General features: G+C 39.2%; 2 protein-coding genes across 5 annotated transcripts in view, besides 4 other annotated features; one reads left to right on the forward strand and one right to left on the reverse strand.

Moving 5' to 3' along the window:
• Positions 1–20,671, forward strand: part of CMSS1 (cms1 ribosomal small subunit homolog) — a 363,871-nt gene that overhangs the window by 243,799 nt on the left and 99,401 nt on the right. The gene's annotated exons all lie outside the window — the stretch shown is intronic.
• The window catches only part of FILIP1L (filamin A interacting protein 1 like), a 285,691-nt gene that overhangs the window by 232,850 nt on the left and 32,170 nt on the right, over positions 1–20,671 (reverse strand). The window lies entirely within an intron of this gene.
• Positions 7,272–7,351: a silencer, noted in NCBI's record as "silent region_14567". NCBI's record gives its function as "represses an Ori minimal core promoter by ATAC-STARR-seq in GM12878 lymphoblastoid cells {active_cell/tissue: GM12878}" and the evidence as "EXISTENCE:reporter gene assay evidence [ECO:0000049][PMID:35858748]".
• Positions 11,197–11,276: a silencer, noted in NCBI's record as "silent region_14568". NCBI's record gives its function as "represses an Ori minimal core promoter by ATAC-STARR-seq in GM12878 lymphoblastoid cells {active_cell/tissue: GM12878}" and the evidence as "EXISTENCE:reporter gene assay evidence [ECO:0000049][PMID:35858748]".
• Positions 11,818–12,352: an enhancer, noted in NCBI's record as "NANOG-H3K27ac hESC enhancer chr3:99792322-99792856 (GRCh37/hg19 assembly coordinates)". NCBI's record gives its function as "activates a minimal SCP1, AML or CMV promoter by ChIP-STARR-seq in naive H9 embryonic stem cells {active_cell/tissue: H9 hESC(naive)}" and the evidence as "EXISTENCE:reporter gene assay evidence [ECO:0000049][PMID:30033119]".
• Positions 12,353–12,887: an enhancer, noted in NCBI's record as "NANOG-H3K27ac hESC enhancer chr3:99792857-99793391 (GRCh37/hg19 assembly coordinates)". NCBI's record gives its function as "activates a minimal SCP1, AML or CMV promoter by ChIP-STARR-seq in naive H9 embryonic stem cells {active_cell/tissue: H9 hESC(naive)}" and the evidence as "EXISTENCE:reporter gene assay evidence [ECO:0000049][PMID:30033119]".

The raw sequence follows: 20,671 nt of genomic DNA on the forward strand, positions 1-20,671 counted from the left end.
AGTGCTTTACACATATGAATTCATTTAATTCATTTAACCCTCACTACCTCCGAGGTGCATGTCGTTATCCTCCCATTCTGAGGTGAGAAAACTGAAGCACAGAGAAGGTAATGCAATACCCAAGGACTCACAGCTAGGAAATATCAGAGGCAAGATTTGAAGCCAAGAAGACTGATTCCAGAGACTTCACTTTTTTCATTTATTCATTTATTGTGGTAAAATATATATAATACAAAATCTGTCATTTTAACTATTGCTAACTGTGCAGTTTAATAGCATTAAGAACATTCACATTGTTATGCAACCAAGACTACTACCCATCTCCACAAACTTTTTCATCTTCCCAAATTGAAAGCCTTTACTACTCTATATTACTTCCCTAGTAATACTTAGAGATCTGGAAATATCCACTTGTGGTTATCCTGTCTTCTTCTTTTTTTTTTTTTTTTTTTTTTTTTTTTTTTTTTTTGAGACGGAGTGTTGCTCTGTCCCCCAGGCTGGAGTGCAGTGGCGCGATCTTGGCTCACTGCAAGCTCCGCCTCCCGGGTTCAGGCCATTCTCCTGCCTCAGCTGCCCGAGTAGCTGGGACTACAGGCGCTCGCCACCACGCCCAGCTATTTTTTTGTATTTTTAGTGGAGACGAGGTTTCACCGTGTTAGCCAGAATGGTCTCGATCTCCTGACCTCGCGATCCACCCGTCTCGGCCTCTCAAAGTGCTAGGATTACAGGTGTGAGCCACCGCGCCCGGTCTATCCTGTCTTCTTTTAACAGAAGATTTTGAGCCCTTTAAGCCTTAACTTCATTACTTCTCCATTAGTCCTCTGTGTTATGCATGCCTTGCAGCCAGTCCCTCATACGGGGGTCAGTCACACCAACCTCTCCAGGCTCTGAAGTGCTTCTGTTTTTTCCAAGAGATTTGTGTGTTGGCATATGCATGGGCAATTAGAGCTACATCACCTCTGCTGCCTGTCTTTTAACATTGATTCTAAGCTGCATACTAATTTCAAAAATCTCAAAACCCTAAAAGAAATTTAAAAGCCCCTATATCTTAGGCTTAAAGAAATAAACTCTTTGTCCTGGCTGAGATGTCGTTGTGAAAAAGCTTTGTCCTGGTTCCTCAGCATTCGCCCTACACCTGTCTGGCCCAAGCCTCCTCCCCTCCAGCCTGGATTACTGTGATGACTAGTCCCCCAACTCTCAGTTACTTGTACAAAGTGGACATCATGAGACCTGGTTCTAGTCTTATAACCTTGAGCAGCTTGCTTAATCTCTCTGAGCCAGCAGACGTTTTGTTCAGCACGAAAGGAGGATAGAAATAGATGTTTCCTTTTGACACATAAAGGCAAAATTTCTAGGAGTTCTCAGGCATCCTCAAGATGGCATTTGGAGTTCATTGAGGCCAAAGTCAGAAGAACTTTGAACTATATTATATGCCTCTTTGTCATTATTTTATCAGTTGGCACCCTGTTTTGTTTTGTTTTTACTGCTGAGGTATCAGTACCCTCACCCACTACTTGTTGTCCATTTAAAATCTGCTTACCCTAGAACTTCACCTCTGGCTCACTTGTTCCCAAATAAGCCCTGGTACTGCTTCTCATTTTTCCTTTCTCCTCAGTTTAGAAATAAAATTTTAACAGAAAATTTAAAAATTGGTTCCACACTCAGTATTATAATGATCTCAACCAACCATTAAAGGGTCTGAATGACTTATTACTATATATCTGAATTATTGTATTCTTCTTGGTGTAATTATTATTATAGTATTATTATCTGAATAGCTTTTTACTGTAACTCAGAATGATGGCCTTAATTTTCTCCAGGTGAATTTACTTTAAAAAAAAGAAAAACTTTATAAATCAAATTTAAAGGCTCCTAAGCTTCCATCCCACCCTGCATAATTAGCAACTAATGTGCAGATCTGAATACTTTCTCATCCAGACTTTGGTAGTCTTTTAAAAGTTATTTTAAGGATTATTTTAATCTGGGGACTTGACTTTTCATTAAATACCACTTTTTAACTGGTTAGTGAGTTGTGTGTGTTGGGTTTTTTTCTAGTTTGCAAGGTTGCAAGAAAAAAAGTCAACCTGAATAAAATTTCATATCAAAACTCTGGACTTCAGGGTACAGAGGAAAACTAATTTTTAAAGCATCTAATTTCTTCTCTCTGTAAAGAGGATTCCATTAAAGAAATAAAGTGATTTGTTCTGTTACTTGAAGTATAGAGAAAAACCTAATCAAATGTTAAAATCTCTCCACATGTTTACCCCAAGACTGTCAGGAGTACATACCGTCAGCCAAACCCATTGGTGCCAGTACTGAATGTTCACACTTAAGGTTGGAAAAGTTGCTTCTAGTTCTCCTCTCAAACCTCGGACCTCTAGAAGCAGGTGGAAGAGTTCTTGTTTTGTTTGTTCTTTGTTTTGTTGCTTCTGGTTTCAGAGAACCCAGAAGAATGGAGATTTTGAAAGTGAATTTGAGGTCTGCTGTAAACCTTCAAGGGCTCTTTCCTGTTAGGATTGTGGGGTTGTCTTCCGGGAATGTATTTAGGACGTGTGGTGGATTGGGAAAGAGGAGGATGTATCAAAGTAAACATTTCATGAGCTTCTGCTTTGCAGTTTAACTTACTAATAGACAAAACTTCTGACGATTTCCTGTGTATCCTAAAGGACCAATTTGCCACCAGCTCCCCAGTCCCACGGCCTCTCTTTTTCCAGCTAATCCTGACCCCCCCAACACCCTTTTTTTTTTTTCAACATTAAAGCCACTCATTCAATGTGCAACAGTGTTCGTGTTTGCCAGCCCCTTACTGCATTAAGTGTGCTGTGACTTCTTGGTTTAATTTGTGATGTAGCTGGTTTTCATTCTTTATGTTTTGACAAATGCCACCCACTATTATATGTAGAGAACTTTAAGATCCTTTGGCTCTCCAGAGGATAGAAGGCCCTGGAGCAGAGGAAGGGAGACTGGCAAAAGGGCTTGGAAAATGCTTACAGACCTAATGGAACTTTTTATTTCCACTTGCTGATTTTCTTTAGCTTCAGATTCATTAAGGGCATGTTGGCAAATCATACTCATCTGTAAGAACATTCTAATAAGTTCCGTGTTGCTGTCTACTACATGAGAGTCAATTTGACAAACAGCTAATTTTTTAAGGAATTCAGCAGTTGGATTTCCACACAGTAAAAAGATTGGTAGAGGGCAGAGATTTGGCCAGGGGCCTGGGGGTGGGGTGGTGGGGCAGGGGGACTAACAAACATGTATTGCTGTTGCTGCCTATGCAATGTATATCTACTAACATATGTTAAACACACACATACACATGTGTGTGTAACAAAACACTATGCTAGGCATTATGTGTGAGATGAGGAACAAGATACAGTTCTTGCTTTAGGGTCAGTCTCATAAGATTGTAAACTATGAGCCCAAATGCCTGAATTATAAGACAGTATGGAATGTATATATAATTAATATATACACTGGGCAGTCTACTTAGTGTGATGTAACAATGCGGGTTCCCAGGCCCCACCCCAGACTTACTGAATCTGAATCTCTGGGAGTACCATCCAGCAATCTGTGTTTTAATTAGCTCCTATGTTTTAACGAGAATATCCAGATAATGCTTTTTCCTGCTATAGTTTGAGAACCATTGCTCTAAATTGCAATTCTCAGGCCAATCTAACCTTCATGATAGGCATTATTATCCACTCACAGGTAAGGAAGTGGAGAGTCAGAGGAATAAAGTAACTTTGCCTAAAATCATCCTGCTAACATTATGGCAGTCTAGATTCAATCCCAGTTCTGTTGAACCACATATTGTCTGTATCCTCCATCTACCCGTGGCTGCCTCATCCTAGAAACTATTGTCAACCACATATAAGCCATTTTTTCTAAGATTTCATTCTTGGTCTTCCACTTTTCATCTTACTCTTTCTTCCTAATGAAAAAAGTATTCACTTTAACCATTTTACCACTGCCATAGTGCCCCATAGTTGTCACCATTATAAAGCTGAGGTGCAAATGACACTTGATTTGTTTTCCTTGCTATGTCATCACCACCTGTATTCTTGTATCTAATTAGTCCAACAGCCTCTCAGTTCATATTCAGATTCAAGGTGGAGAATAAAACGTTATATTTCAATACTAATTCAATTCCATCAATAAATGTTTATTGGCCAGGTATCATTTACCTAATACTGTGTTCTATGCTGTAAGGTAGTGGTGCTCAAAATATGGCTCCTGGATCAACAGCATCACCTGGGGACTTTTCAGATATGTAAAGTATTAGGCCCCACACTGGACCTTCTGAATCAGAAACTCTGGGAATGCGACCCAGCAATATGTACTTTTAAAACCCTTCCAGATTATTCTAATGCACATTAAAGTTTGAGAGCCACTGCTATAAGGGATAAGAGAACTTAGAGAGATGGTCTTTACTCTTTAAGAGATTACCATCTATTTTCCCTTGCCCACCTGTCAGTGTCTGAATTCAAACTGGAATTTCTGATAGCTAAGAGCTGACAGCAGTATAATGATTTTGTTTTACCATGTCTGCTAGATTCAGAAATGCCTCCTGCAGCTCTCTGTGGGATTCTTTTCTTTTTATTATTTTAATGAGAGTCAATCACTCATTTATAAAACCTCTTACAGAAATTAAAGTATGTTTCAGATGACAGTTACACTTTTTTATTTCTCCAGGGGTCTGATTTGCAAAGAATTCTTATGGAACTGGATTGTTTTGTTTATGTAGGCAGTCATTTGCCATGTGGTGATCTTGAAAACAGACTAAATAAATGGTTTGAATGGTGATGTCATGGATAGTGGTGATTAAAGCAAGGATGATGTGGAAGGCTTTGCTTCTTTTTTTTTTTTTTTTTTTTTTTTTTTTTTTTGAGACGGAGTCTCGCTCTGTCGCCCAGGCTGGAGTGCAGTGGCGGGATCTCGGCTCACTGCAAGCTCCGCCTCCCGGGTTCACGCCATTCTCCTGCCTCAGCCTCCCAAGTAGCTGGGACTACAGGCGCCCGCCACTACGCCCGGCTAATTTTTTGTATTTTTAGTAGAGACGGGGTTTCACCATTTTAGCCGGGATGGTCTCGATCTCCTGACCTCGTGATCCGCCCGCCTCGGCCTCCCAAAGTGCTGGGATTACAGGCGTGGCTTTGCTTCTTAAACCACCCAGGGACCAGACCAACTCCTGAAATCCTGGGTCACAGTTTAAAGATTTTTACTTGACCATACCATATTTATAGCCAGTCATTACTTGTTTTCTCACAGGATATTCTGTTTCAAAAGAATATTTGTCTTCTTTAGAAGACACATAAAAATGTGTGTCCCATACACATATTGAGTGAGATTCCTCAGTCAAGTGTGCTTTGTATTCAGAAGGGCAAGCGTGGACTGTGATTAGGTTAACTGTCACAGGGCCACTGAGATGCATGTTCCCAGGGCACCAGTCACCTAGAATACAGGAGTTTTGCAACTCTGAAGCCCTGGCTATGTTTTTGATCTCGTTTGTTTGTTTGTTTGTTTGTTTGTTTGTTTTAAATAGGGAAATTTTAGCATCACAGTTGAACAAAAGTAAGGTATCCCTACTCAAACTGAATTACCATGACCTTTTCTCTCTTCTTGGCTTTCTTGGCATTTATACAAGTTATTCTGGCCTACCTATGGTGCAGGTGAAAGTCTAGAGACTCATACCTTGGAAAGCAGGTAACTAAGCACCCTGGTGAAGGTTGTATATATAAGAAAGGTGGAGGCTTTTGGAATGTCTGTTGAATCCCTGGCTCCAATTATTCCCATTCCTCCATTAGTATACATGATTGAGGATAGTGAGTGTTTTTCAGGTGAAATCTGACAAAATTCACTTCATCTAAAATGCTGTCAAATCATCTGAATTTTGCAGATTTGATTCAGATACAGGTTTATTTAATGTAAATATAAGCCCTTAGGGGGAAAGAAGAACAACTAGAATTCACAAGATTATCTAGATGATTCAATTTTCAGTAGTATACTGGTTTGATAATAAACTGATTAATGATTAACTAGTTTAAAAACTGTGTACTGCACACTGAGTAGGTGCTAAATATATACCACACTACTTTGAAATAGTCTCTGTGGTCTCTATCCAAGCCTTGAGTGAAGTGGGCTGACATTTCAAAGAGGCTTTAATGGCCACCCAGGAGGACTCTGGGTATAGTACAATAGGGAAGCACAGTAGAGAAGCACAATATTAGTAAACAGATGCAATCAAAGCTTTCCCTACCCTACCACCCAGGCAAGTCATTCATGTCCTTGTGTTAGTCTGTGTCCCAAAGACCCAAGGCACCTCCAAGAACCCTCTTTTAAGTGCCTCCACAGCATAAGCTTTAAAGTCAAGCCAACCTGGATCCACCACTAATGATGGGAATTTAGGAATAACTACTTCCTAAAATTGTGAAAGATTACATGGAGCATATGTAAAACTCCAAGGCAATCAGAGAAATGCACATTTAATCAAAGAAATACCATTGTTTGCATGTCAAATTGGCAAATTTTTTAATGGTGATTCCTGGTATTGACAAAGATACAGTGAATTAGGACGTGCACTTGCACACTGCTAGTAGATGTGTAAATGGCCTTTAAAGCAATTTTGCCATGTTATTATAAACCTGGATGGATGCATAGTGAGACAAACATGAATGATGAAAGAGCCTCTGTGTGTGTGTGTGTGTGTGTGTGTGTGTGTGTCAGAGAGATATAGTATCTTTTGACTCAGTAAACACATTTAACTACAAAACATCATCTGAACTAACACACAAGTCTATCTAGATTCTTTAACAATTTAATGTAAATATTCATACATCTTGCTATAGGAATATTAATGTTGGATTAGTGGGTGCTGCCAAAGAACCCACTGCAAGTTTCATATAATACATAGTATATGTATCAGTTTACTTTTCTAAAACATGAAAAATTCTGAAACAATAGTTTTTTTGTTTTTTGTATTTTTGAGACTGAGTCTTGCTCTGTTACCCAGGCTGGAGTGCAGTTGCACGATCTCGGCTTACTGCAACCTCTATCTCCCAGGTTCAAGCGATTTTCCTGCCTCAGCCTCCCAAGTAGCTGGGAATACAGGCGCCCACCACCATGCCCAGCTAATTTTTGTATTTTTAGTACAAATGGGGTTTCACCATGTTGGCCAGGCTGGTCTCAAAGATGTTTCTTCTGTTTGTGATTTCAGAGGTTATTTTGTGAATTCACAGGTACCACTCCCAAGAAAGTTCAGCTTGCTCTCACCCTCGCCCAGCAGGTGGCACTGTGAAATAGAGGGACATGACAGTGCAGGGAGCTGCCGTTCTGCTCCACAAACCCAGATAGAACGTTAGCAAGTACCCACGTGATTTGGGCACTTCATAATAGATCAGTTGATATACTTGAAAGTCTCATACAAGTCTGGTGCCTCAAACTAGTTTTGTTCCATTTAGTTTCATGTCTTCTGTAAGGCTCCTACTCCTTTAAGGTCAGTGGCATCAAGTGCTCACATACTGAGCGGATCACTGAGGTCCTTTAAAAAGGTGCAATTCTATTTCTGCACATGGATGTTAGTTGCATTCTTTCTATCATTTGTAGGGAAAGCCACACTCTCTTCATCCTGTTGTAGGCATTATTACCCCTCCTGCTTGGGAAAAGATCTATTAATTTCTTGAATAAATTACCTAATTTTTGCAACAGCCTTAACTGAGCCAGCCATTAGCTGCCCACATAATGCTCACCTGCTCTGTTCTAAGCAGGCAAGTGGTTAAGAGAAAGGAGATGGCTGGTTGTGTGTTCCAGACCTTTCTTTTTGGAAAGACACTTTTTCTTCTCCTCTGATAGTGGTGTTTTGGATTTCTGATACGGCAGCCAATGGAATCAATGTCACAGTCTAAAAACTAGTGGTTCCTTCAGGCTTCAGTCTCCTGAGGCACCAGACAGTTTATACTCTTAAGAATTTTCACTGCTTTTCACAGACATTAATAGTTTCCTGGCATTGCCTATCAGGAAATGTCGTCATGGTCTGGAGGAACCAATAAAAATACAAGTAACCTGTTTTGACAGATCTCTTTTCTGCCAGAAATTTCAGAATTTGTGGTAAGAGGAGGTGGCAGAATGGAGGGCCAGTCTATTTGTGAGGGCATAAGCAGAAATATTTGCCCTACGAGAGGGAGCTGATATCTACCCTGGATATGAGAAATAGAGGACTCACACTATCCAGTTCATTTTGTTGGAAACTTAAAAAAAGAAAATCTGGTTTGATAGGGTAATTCAAGTCTATGGTACATTAAGATATTTTTCTCCTTTTTTTTCCTTTTATTTCAAACATAATTCTTGTTTGATCCTCAAATAAAAAACTCATGCGTTAAAAATTAACAGTATTTGATTAAGGATGTACACATGGCACTGTCATAAGGTATGCAGAAAGAGGCCGTGGATTTGGACAGTGATACCAAACAGCTAACATGAAGTGCTCTGTGCTCATTCCTGTTACAGCCAGAGCATGATTCTGAACTCCTTTAATGTGAGAAACACTGAATATCATCCTTAGATAGTTAATTGAAGTTAGATTTTGTGGGGAGGTCAGTTGTTTCTCCCTTGCAAGTTTGTGGGGAAAATTGATCACCATAATACTTGAAAGAGTGTGATCAGAGTAAAATTAATAGACATATCTGAAATGACTGTTTGATCTCTTCTAATTAATGAAATTTTAAAGAAAATTTTATACTAGTGCCAATTTTGAGTACTCTGTTTTACTTAGGACTTGAATATTAAATAATGTTGATTTATTCTCCCCATCAGTTTAGTTTTCAACTTAAATACATTTTAAGGTATAAAACTTACAGATAAACCTTGTGCCAATTTAAGTGGATGTATGGGGTTGTAATAAGATACTGCCCATCCCCATCAAAAGTTGTCTATGAATAAAGACTTCATATCATCGTGGGGTTTTTTTGTTGTTGTTGTTTTTCTTTTTTTGAGACGGAGTTTCACTCTTTTGGCCCACGCTGGAGTGCAGTGGCGCAATCTCGGCTCACTGCAACCTCCACCTCCCGGGTTCAAGCAGTTCTCCTGCCTCAGCCTCCCAAGTAGCTGGGATTAAAGGCATGTGCCACCATGCCTGGCTAATTTTGTATTTTTAGTAGAGACCGGGTCTCACCATGTTGGCCAGGATATTCACGAACTCCTGACTTCAGGCGATCTGCCTGCCTTGACCTCCCAAAGTGCTAGGATTATAGGCATGAGTCACCGCGCCTGGCCTGTGGTTTTCTTTGTGTATGATTTTCCTTATTAAATTCTCACTATGTAATGCCCTTTTTTTGTTTTGCTTTTAAGCTATTCAGTTATACAGAAAAAAATAAGCCAAGTTCTTTTTTTAAAAGAAAGGGGTTTGTTTGTTTTTAAGAGAAGCTACTCTCTCTTTTTTTTTTTTTTTTTTTTTGGATGGATTAGCATTTCCAAACTTTCTTTTTAAGTTCTTATAATTACCCCCTATTTCAGACATATCACTGTCAATTTATGCTGGGGAAGTGGAGAAAAGAAATTAGATTTTATCCTGATTTTCTCTTACTCACTTCATCTCCTGAGAGCTGAATTTGCTACATAACTAGCTGGGTAAGATGGAGAAACTTGTACATCAAGAAGACAGTAAGGGACAGGGACTGTGACCTCCTGTTCTATGGGGAAGAACTGCCTCAGTAATGCTCAGTTCCTGCTGAGACTGCCAGCCTCCCCATCTTAACTGTAGCCTGGCCTTCACCTGAGAAAGACAGTCAAAGTAGATACTGTTTCCTCTTCCTGAGCCTGCCTGGATTTCAAAGCATTCACTAAAATTTACATGGGAGAAGGGTGGGGGGCAGAGTACAGAATAGCCCAAGGGTGTGGGTCTTCTGTCCTACTGGTTCCAGTCAGAGCCAAGCCCCATTTTTGATGTCCTCGGGCCAGTGTTGGAAGTCAACTTCTGGACACATCTTTATCCTGGACAGATCTTCCTTGGTCCATTCTTAGGTCTTTCTTTTATTCTGCTCCATAATTGCTCTTTCTTGGCCAAGACTGCTCCTCCCCAAATGATCCTTGTCTGGCTCTACCTCCTGACTTTTCACCTCTTATTGTCTTCTTCCTGCCCTGGTCCCTTTTCCTGTCAGCTCTCAAGGCTTACACTTATTGGGCACCCAACTTCATTATTTCCCAGGTGTGAACCAGTGACCCATCAACCAGGTGTCTTCAGGGGGACTTTGCCATATCAGCTAATTACATTTTTACAATTTGGTGTCTTGATCGGCAGACTGAAACTGAAATATAGGGAACTCTCTCATCTGCAGCAGTTCAGAGGACCAGTTGTCTCCGTGGCAAAGTAATTAGCACGTTAGGATAAAACTGTCATCTTTGATGGACTTAAAACTGTCATTCTTCCAGAAGAGAAAGATGGACTCATCACCCACTTGAGCGTTACATGGACCATATTTTAAGACCAAACACTAGGCAATATGCTGTGAACTAAAGGTCTACTGATCTTGGCCACTGCAAATCTCATGTGCCAAAGTCTTTCAGCTCTATCTCCCCAAGCCCAAACCCAAGGATTATTCAGTCAGAAATAGAATGTGTGTAAAATTGATAGGAGATAATTTTCTCATTGGCCTCCTGCCCTAGTTCATTCTGTGCATTTCCAAATCTGGGCTCAAACTTGAACATGGCTCTGAGAGCTCTCCTTGATTCAGGCTTGGAGCTCAAGTAACAGAGTTGTCTCTGGCTGACTTCCTGGATTCCCCCCTTTCTAGATGGCCCTTAATGGTGCCTGATTTTCTCTTATGACTGATTTCATCAACTGAGGCATTTGCAGTGGTGCAATATCTTGCATTACTTTGTAAAGTTGTGACACCTTCTCTGGCATCCAGTTCCAGCATTTTAACTGTCAACCGACCATCGCACCCCACCTCCAATCCCCAGCTGGTACAGTCTTCTTTGCAACAATTAGGAAATCTTTATTGCCTTCCAGAAATATGGGATTGCTTGAACACAGCTGAAATACAGATTATCTACTGGACAGAGGTGATGAGGACTTATCACCTGACCTCACTTGATAATGTATAGTTATTTAATTGGGACAGCTTGCTAAAGAACAGAGGTTCTCAAATTCTAGGGACTCATGAGTCACTTCAATACAAGAAATAATCCTCTCCTTCCCCCATAAACTACCTACCCACTTCCTCTAACTTGTCACTGAAAACCTCGCCAGAAGAGTGAACACTGAGGCTGCTTTTGTCACAGGGTAGGGAGAATAATGATGATAGCATATGTTTGAAGAGCACTTTTTAAAGTTTTTTTTTACATCCACTTCCTTAATATATATCTTGATTAATATCAGAGGCAAAGCATAATTAGTTTATGTGTATGTTCATAATAAAATGGAAACCATCATGTTTCTTTCATCTGCCCACCACTTTTTAAGAATGCTGTTATATTATAGAACAGGGGAGAACTAGTACCAGGAGTCACAAATTATAGCCTGTGGGCCAAATCTGGTTTGCCACCTGTTTTTATAAATAAAGTTTTATTGGAACTCCACCATACTCATTTATTTATATATTATCTGACTATTTTCATCCTACAACAGAAAAGTTGAGTTCTTGTGATAGAGATTGCATAGCCTACAGAGGCTGAAATATTTACTATCAAGTCCTTCACAAAAAAAGTTTGCTGGCCCAGGACAGCAAAATGAAGCAAGCTGTCCTGTCATGAAAGTATACATTTAAATACAAATAGAGTAAATGTTGTCTGCAGCTTCCTCGAAAAGACTGGGGTAGAGGAGATTGCAGGGAATTGTAGGCTTAGGTCAAGAAAACAGAAATCTTGAGGTTTTCTTGAATCCAAAAAGAAATAAGGAACTTGGGTCCAGGATGCAAGAGAGGGAATTCTATGAGTAAATATCTTCATTTAGCACATTTTGTTAGAGCTCCTCAAAGAAGGCCAGGAAGTTTTTCATGCCAGTAATAAACCTTGAGGAAGCCTAGGAAATAACCCACTGGTCTGTCTTCTAACATGACAGCCGGTGTTCACTCTACATTCAAATGCAGAGTAGGGTGTGTGCCGGGCAAGATCTCCTGTTTGATTCCTCTGTGGGTCTTGTCTCCAGGAGGGCTTTATTAAGAATCTTTCCACTCACTCTTTTTAAGCTTATGTCCCTTTCCTTTTAAAACACCAGAATTCAACATTCATTACCTTTCTTCCCTTTGATTGCCCACTGAAGTTTTCACAGAGGAAGTAATGGTTTTCCTGTTTCCTTTCGGTGTGGCCATTTTGCACGCCATGGTTCTCCTTCCCTTTTTTCAGTCTTGCATTCAAGTAAAAGCAAGTCGTCTTCTACTGTTAACTGCGGGAAAAGGTTTGTGGGGGCCTTTTTTTTCCCTTCCCTCCTCCACAACTGGAAAATATGAGGCAGATCTTGTTTATGTATGCTGTAACCTCAAAAAGAGCTGATACGCTGTTGTCATTAAAGAAGAATCCCAAGCTGTTTATCCTGCAGTGGAGTCCGAGAGCTCTAAATCTGACAGCCCCCCTGGGCCTCCAGGCACAGACTGTGGAGAGCTCTTCGCTGCTTTCCCAGGCCAGCTCCAAAATGCAAGGCAAAGGTTTCCGTTGCTGAATCCCTACACTCTGGGAACAGACAAGATGTCAATGTTGTGGCTTTATTAAAAATCAGAGGCTTTCTTCCCTTGTATTAACTTGTTCTTTGAAATCTGTTTTCCAGAGGCCTTTTCTACTCTAAAATGTAACTTGAATACCCATCTTTCTGCTACATTTTTCTCTGTGGATCTCTTATCATGTTCCAGAAATCATTTTGCAAATTTATTCTATAGCCAGTATGTTTGGCAAAATTATAATAAAATAAGCTTTCTTATTTATCTAAAAACTAGTAAAAACTATGCTTGAGAAATACATCTTTCTGTTGAAGTTTGGTTCCCAATGTTTCTTTTAATCTTATTTTCTATGCATGTGCAACATTTGATTTTTTTTTTTTTTTTTTTTTTTTTTTTTTTTTTTTGAGACGAAGTCTCACTCTGTTGTCCAGGCTAGAGTACAATGGCACGATCTTGGCTCACTGCAACCTCTGCCTACTGGGTTCAAGCGATTCTCTTACCTCAGCTTCCAGAGTAGCTTGGATTACAGGTGCGCACCACCACTCCTGGCTAATTTTTGTCTTTTTAATAGAGACAGGGTTTCGCCGTGTTGGCCAGGCTGGTCTCGAACTCCTGACCTCAAGTGATCCACCAGCCTTATCCTCCCAAAGTGCTGGGATTACAGGCATGAGCCAACATGCCCGGCCTGATTTTCTTTTATAATAATGATTTTTTATAAACCTTTGTTTGTATAAAGCTATTTTAATTGCTTATATTTTTTTAGGATATATTTTATTGGTCTATGTTAGTTCCCTTTGTTTTGGTTTATCCTGGGGTCAAACCCAGATTCTCCCTACAAGGATTACATTAGATAGAGATCGTCAAAACCAGAAATGATCAACCTGAAACACTTCCTGGTCAGCTTTTGCTAAAAGAAGATATATCAATGCAATATGATTACCTTTCAAATAATGGACTTCTAATGACACAAGAGAACAATCTAGAGCATGCTAGTTGCTGCCACAGAAATGGATACAGAGACAACCCACAGTCTGGTTCTCATCCTCGTGTCCTTTACCCTACAGGAGAGAAGGGCTTATGATAACGAGCAGAGATTCCACTTTTATTTTAGGAAGCTTAGAGGTTAGGAAGACCATAATTTGTTCTTTAAACATCTCTTGCATTTTTATAAGTTCTCTTACCTTCAAAGCTTTATTCGAAGCTTCGGGTTTTTGCTTTTTACTTCATATCCCAATCTTTGTCTTCTCTTTTCTTTTTCTTTTTTTTTTTTTAACTGTCTCCTATACCCACTGATGGCAGACTCTGTTTTCTTTTATCTTCTTTTCCTTATTACACAAGAATTAAATGAAGCAACATCTATAATATAAATTCTCGGAAAAATTACACAACATGGTAATAACTAATTATAAAGGCAATTTATAGATTTGGGGAGAATTTCATCCCACAGTGATAGTAACATCGTTGGACCTGAAACCAGGACCTATTGATGACTGACCTGGGGCAATTTATCTCTGAGCTTGACTTTTCTTATCTATAAACTTATCTTAAACTCTACAAGCTTCTTGAGCTAATCCTTCTGGGGTATTAGGATTCGATTCAGGAGAGCTGAGTTGGAGCCTAGAAATCTTCATTTCTGATAAGCTCTCCAGGCAATAGGCCCTCAGACCTCACTTTGAAGACACAAAACTATGTAATTTCTAAGATCATTTCCTGCCTAAAATTCTGTGATTCTGAGTCTTCTTTCAACTACATGGCTTTGGGCAGGGCTGATGCTTCCTGGAAACTCACTGTTTCATCTGCCATATGTATAATTAAGAAATATATTTGTTAGTTATCTTGCCCGGAAAACCCTTAAAAATGTAAACAATAATTTTGATCAGAGTTAAGTACCTCTTTTTGTCACTGCTCAGTGGAGGCTTGTCTGTTTCATTCCTTTAATCTCTCATCATATGCTTATCTCTGTAAATATATTTTTCCCTCTCTAAAGGCCTCTCAGATGCTTTTCATCTTTCTGAAAGAATGTTTAAAGCCAAAGTCCAGGTGCTTACACTTTTGGACTTAATAACTGAGCTGTTTTTACTCACCACCCGCCCAACACCCTTCTTTTTCTTTTATCATTGTCAGCATGTGCTGAGCCCCTCTGATGGACAGCTTCACATCTACTTTATGCTTTGCTATTTCTGTTATATTGCAAAATCCTATCTAATCTGTGGGTTACAGTATCTATCTGGTTGCTTTTGACATGCTTTCGAGGTTTCATCCCCACTGAATGTCAGTCTTCTGAGTTATTTTTTCCTGGATACTTGTACTTAATTGTATTTTGCCAGACTGAACTCACTGTGTACTTTACTGTTCATTTTTCTGATCTCCAGGGATCCATGAATATTGTTTGACTTCACCTCTGTTTCTTCTACCATCTCCACCTTTAGTGCCATGTGAGGAACTTATTAATGTAACGTCTTCTCAGATTTCCAGGTCATTAATAAAGTTGTTTAATAAGATCTTTTGTGCAGCCTGGGAATTAGTCAGACTTACTCAGTATTTACAGCTCTGCTATCATTTCTTGCCCACTATTATGTCCTGTGTAGTTAAGGATGCAATAGAGACAAAAATTACTTTTCAAATTACAGTTCCTGCAAGAGATGTCTCTTCCCAGAAGACCCTTTACTGTTCCACATAAGAAATCAAAACTCTCATTTAATTAGAGAGGGCTTTCGGAACAAGGCTGGCCAGGGTACGCTTACATAAGCTTGTTTGCAGATTCCGGTTAGGTCTCCCAAGGTCACAGACAGCTGTGTTTTGCATTTAGCGTCCTTTGAAAGAAGAGTGGATGCTTGGATAGCTTGTACTTGACATGCAAAGAACTTAGGAACTGCATACTTTCACATGTTGCTCGTAGGTTCCAAGCAAATGGGAACACACCATCATGCAGAAACTCTCTATCTGCCGTTATCCTGTGAGCTCCCAATCAGTGATGCATGGTGTTCTTAAGAAGTAGACTCAGGCAACAGCCAAAGTCATTTCTTTCTCTTACAATCTGAGAAGCAAGTATGTTTGTACTTCACTGAGAGTGTTTCAGGACAGCAACCAGTTTAAAAATAAGAGTAGTTAAACAAAAAAGGTGGTTAGCTATTAAGCCATGGCTGGATTTTATAGCACAAAAAGTTAATGCAAGGCAGTGTGTATTTAAGATAAGGAGGATTTAAGGAAATGGAGAGGGGAGAAGAGTAACATTCCAGGTAGAGGAATTGCAAGATAGCCTTCATCCCCACAAGAATTAACATAGTAAAACAGTACAGAATGAGATAAATTCAGTAAAAATAATAAGGAATTGGCTTTGCCCAGTGGCTCACACCTATAATCACAGTGAGGTGGGACAATGAATTGAGCCTAGTAGTTCAAGACCAGCCTGGGCAACATGGCAAGACCCTGTCTCTACAAGAAATAAAAAAATTAGCCAAGCATGGCTGTGCATGTCTGTGGTCCCGCTACTGGGAGGCTGAGACAGGAGGATCACTTGAGCCCAGGAGGTAGAGGCTATAGTAAGCTGTGTTCGCATCACTACACTCCAACCTGGGTGACAGAATAAGACCCTGTCTCAAAAAAAATAAGAATAATAAGGAATTATTAAAATAGAAATTTAGGACACCCAGTTTCACTTACTCAGACTCTAAAATGGAATGTCAGTCGTTTAACAGCCAGCTAAAACATTATTAATTGTACTAACAATATTGAGTTATCCTATTTATAAGTTAGAATTGGGCTTGCTTTAAAAAAAAAAAAGATAATATATGCTGGTTTGATAAAAATTTCATGTCAGTATTTTAGTATACAAACATCATATTGGTGCTAATATATTTGCTCCCATTCCTCAGAACAACTAAAGAAAAGTAAATTAACTTTTCAAAGTGTTGAAGTATATAGGAGGGAAAGTAACAGTAGTTATTGAAATAAAACACCCTCTAGAAATGCACCCTTGCATTTTAGCCAATAATTGATAAATCCAGAGAAAACGTAGAACTTTGCCTAATTTTTTTTTCTGTTACAGTTCTTACATGTAGAACGATGACATAACACATATGTAATATAAAACATAATGGTTGTCTTAATTCTCTATTGCTACATAGCAAACCACTCCAAAATGTAGTCGTTTAAAACAGCAATAATTTATTTTTTATTGACTAGGTCAAGGGTGTCCAATCTTTGGCTTCCCTGGGCCACATTGCAAGAATTGTCTTGGGCCACACGTAAAATACACCAACACTAGCGATAGCTGATGAGGTAAAGAAAAAAAAAATTGGCCTGGCATGGTGGCTCGCTGGCCTGTAATCCCAGCACTTTGGGAGGCCGAGGCAGGCAGATCACTTGAAGTCAGGAGTTCAAGACCAGCCTAGCCAACACGGCGAAACCCCATCTCTACTAAAAATACAAAAATTAGCCGAGCATCATGGCGGGTGCCTGTAATCCAAGCTACTCGGGAGGCTAAGGCCGGAAAATCCCTTGAACCTGGGAGGTGGAGGCTGCAGTGAGCCAAGATCACACCACTGCACTCCAGCCTGAGCGACAGAGTGGGACTCCATATCAAAAAAAACGGAAAAAAAGATTGCAAAAAATCTCATAATATTTTAAGAAAGTTCACTAATTTGTGTTGGGCCACATTCAAAGCTGTCCTGGGCCACATGTGGCCCACGTTGGACAAGCTTGGACTAGGTTCAACTAGATGGCTCTCTTTTCCAAATGAGGTGGGCAAGACCTCTGCAATAGCATTCAGCTGAGGCTGAAATGTACAAAATGACCCCTCATAATCCAGGCCTCTCTCCCCAGTCCTCTCAGCGTTAGCAGTCTTTTACAGTCTTTACAGCATGGTGACTGGCTTACGAGAATGCAAAGGTGAGAGTCGCCAGGCCATTTTGAGGCTTGTTTACACCCCAAAGTGGTAAAGAGTTACTATCGATGCTTTCTGTTGGTCGAAGTATTCAAAAAGCCAGCCTAGATTCAAGGTAGAGGAAATAGCCTTCACTTCTTGACAGGATGGATGGCAAAGAATTTGTAACCATCTTTAATTTCCATATAGTTGCTTAGTAAATATTTGTTGACTGATAGTACGAATATTGCATTTGAACTTCTTTATGTCCTTGGTTGCACTGAAGTGATGTTTATGTTATTATTTTGTGGTAGAGTTTACTTCATAGTTCATGAAAAATCAAAAGAGTTATTTTATCATGTCAGCAAAAAAGTAGATTTTTTATTTTTGAATAGATACAGTCAGTGTCACTTTTGATTATTAAAAATCTTTGTAAGGGTGTGGAATCAGAATCCTCTTTCAAATCCTTCTGATTTTCAATTCATTGTGAGGTTCCATTATTTTATGTGAGATTATATGAATGCCCCAAACATTAGGTACCTGTATTCACACTTTAGAACAAAAATTAATCCCACAGCAAATCCCAGATTTGAGGAGTTACTACCGTTTTACAATTTCTATGCCTCATTACTCTCATGATAACCTAAAAAAAAAAATCAAGATTTGATATCTCTATTATTTAAAAAATAACTAACATAAAATAAACATAGATGTTGGGATTTTTTCTTTTTATTAAAGTTTAAATAATGCATATATGGGTAATGTCATCTCTAACAAAGGTTTTCATGGCATATTGAGAAACAGAGTGGCTTGGAGTGGCTAGATCAAGCAACTCAGAATTCACCATATGAGAAATTAAATGCTTCACAAAATTAACGGTGTCAACACTGGGTCTTCTGCACCCTCTTTTAACTTTTACTCCATCCCTCTGCTGAAATAAGCTATTTTTCTTTTCTTTAATTAATAAAAAATTAAAAATTTCTATTTTTTTAATAGAGACGGGGATCTCGCCATATTGCCCAGGCTGGTCTCAAACTCCTGAGCTCAACCATCCACCTGCCTTGGCCTCCCAAAGTATTGGGATTACAAGCATGAACCACTGCACCCGGCCATCATTTTTCTTAAAGCTCTCATAACCTAGCTAAGAGGGGGAAAAAAAAATTTAATAACTCTAGGGTTCTGACTCTCCCTGAACAAACTATCCCTTTACAGAGGGTTTCTCAGACTTTAGTGAGCATAACAATCACCCAGGGAACATGTTAAAATGTAGATTTTGGGGAGTACCCTAGACAATTTCAATTTTATAGTAAGAGATGGGGCCCAGGATCTGAATTTAGTACCTGGGGCAATGCAGATATAGGTGATCTGTGGACCACATTTTGAGAAATCCAGCTTAGATTTTCTCCTGCCAGTCTCAGAAAGGCTGAAACTGGTTAGGTATGAAGGAGTGATGCCTTGTTCTGTTCTCCCGATAGCAAGAGGCAGTGGGGATGGCAGAAAGACTTAATGTGGGTTTGTCACATGATTAGAATCGATGCCATTTCTTGGTCATATCAGCTAATTCTTTATTTGCATTGGAACTGGAAGGCTTGTGAGAATAGATATGGAATGTTTCACCAGTCAGTTATTAACCAAATAAGGCAAGGACTGCCTTTTCTTGCATAGTCCTATTTTAGGATGGATGTGTACACTTTTCCTGCCATGGTTACCAAAGCAATCCCTTTGAAACCAGCCCATGGTTCTGTCCTAAAGGATGAGTTGAGAGTATTAATTGGTTTTAGGTCTGTGTTTGCAGAAGATAAAAAGGAGTCATGTATTTATGTCATTATTTATTCAAGAACTATCTGTTGAGCATCTTGTGTAATGAAGGTGTTATTTTAGACACTCTCAACAGCCAATGTTATATCCATTAGTCTTGCTGATATTTCTAGCCCCCTTATTTGATGAGCCTTAATTTTTGAAAAGAATTGCAGAACTTCAGACCACCTCCATGGTTCATAATCCTCTCTCAAGATGGAACTTCACCGAAGCCACCCAAGAGTCCTTCTAATCTTCACATGTTCAAGAGATAAATCATCTTTTATCTCTTTTTTTGTCAGCAATAAAAATGGAGAACAAATCACCTTTCATGTAAAACAAATTATATACCATGGTTTATTATTATCCAGCAGATACACTGATGGTCAGTTTATGCTTTTGGAAACCCAGCAGGATTCTTTGAAAGCCCACTGTCATACTCTTAAGCAAATTTTAATCTTGTCTGTCAATGCTAGTCTCTTAGAGGAATCTGATTATACTTGACAACCCTTATCTTCCATGTATACTTATGTAGAAAGATATCTCTGTGGATAGCTCAGGGATTAACGACTCATGAAGATTCTTTGGTTGGGAATAACATTGTGTAGTTTGGCCTCTGCACCCTAATTGTTGCCTCCTTGAAGTCTGCATGCCAGTATAGTGTGATTTTATGAGAGTAACAGTCATGAAAAGTTCTCTAAGAAGGGATTTTTTAAAATATATCCATCAATACAGGTAAATAGTAAATGTTACAATGATACATCACATCTTTTTATTATTTTTATTATCAATGTCTTTTCTTAGTTGTTTTAGAGCCAGGTTTCTCCTTCTGTTCTGGGTCTTAGTTGCAGAGGGCTGTCCTGTGCATTGTAGGATGTTTAGCAGCATCCTTGGCCTCTACCATGCCAGTAGCACCCTCCGAGTTGTGACAATTAAAAATGTCTCCAGACACTGTCAGATGTCTTCCCAAGATAACATTGCCTTCAATTGCTGTTTTAGAGTAGGAGGTATGGCATATTTAGACTTTAGGCTATCTGAGGAAAAACTGTTCCAGTATCTTATGATATTCTCTCCCCATCTTCCAAAAAGTGCTACATGAGCCTCTGAAAATACTGGCATGTTCCTAGACATTTTTAGTTCAGTTCAGTCTTTAAAATGAAATTGCAAAATACAAACAACTCTTTATTTTCCCATTATGTTGTTTATAACAAACCAAGAACATTATTGCTAAAGAGTCATATATCATGAAGTGTGCTGCATAGAATTCATAGAATAGAATCTGTTTAACATACTGACCTAAGCTGCACATGTAAAAAGTAAATACTACTTATTACTCATATAATTCATAGGCAAGAATTTACAA

Source organism: Homo sapiens, chromosome 3 (assembly GCF_000001405.40).
Source record: "Homo sapiens chromosome 3, GRCh38.p14 Primary Assembly".
NCBI lineage: Eukaryota > Metazoa > Chordata > Mammalia > Primates > Hominidae > Homo > Homo sapiens.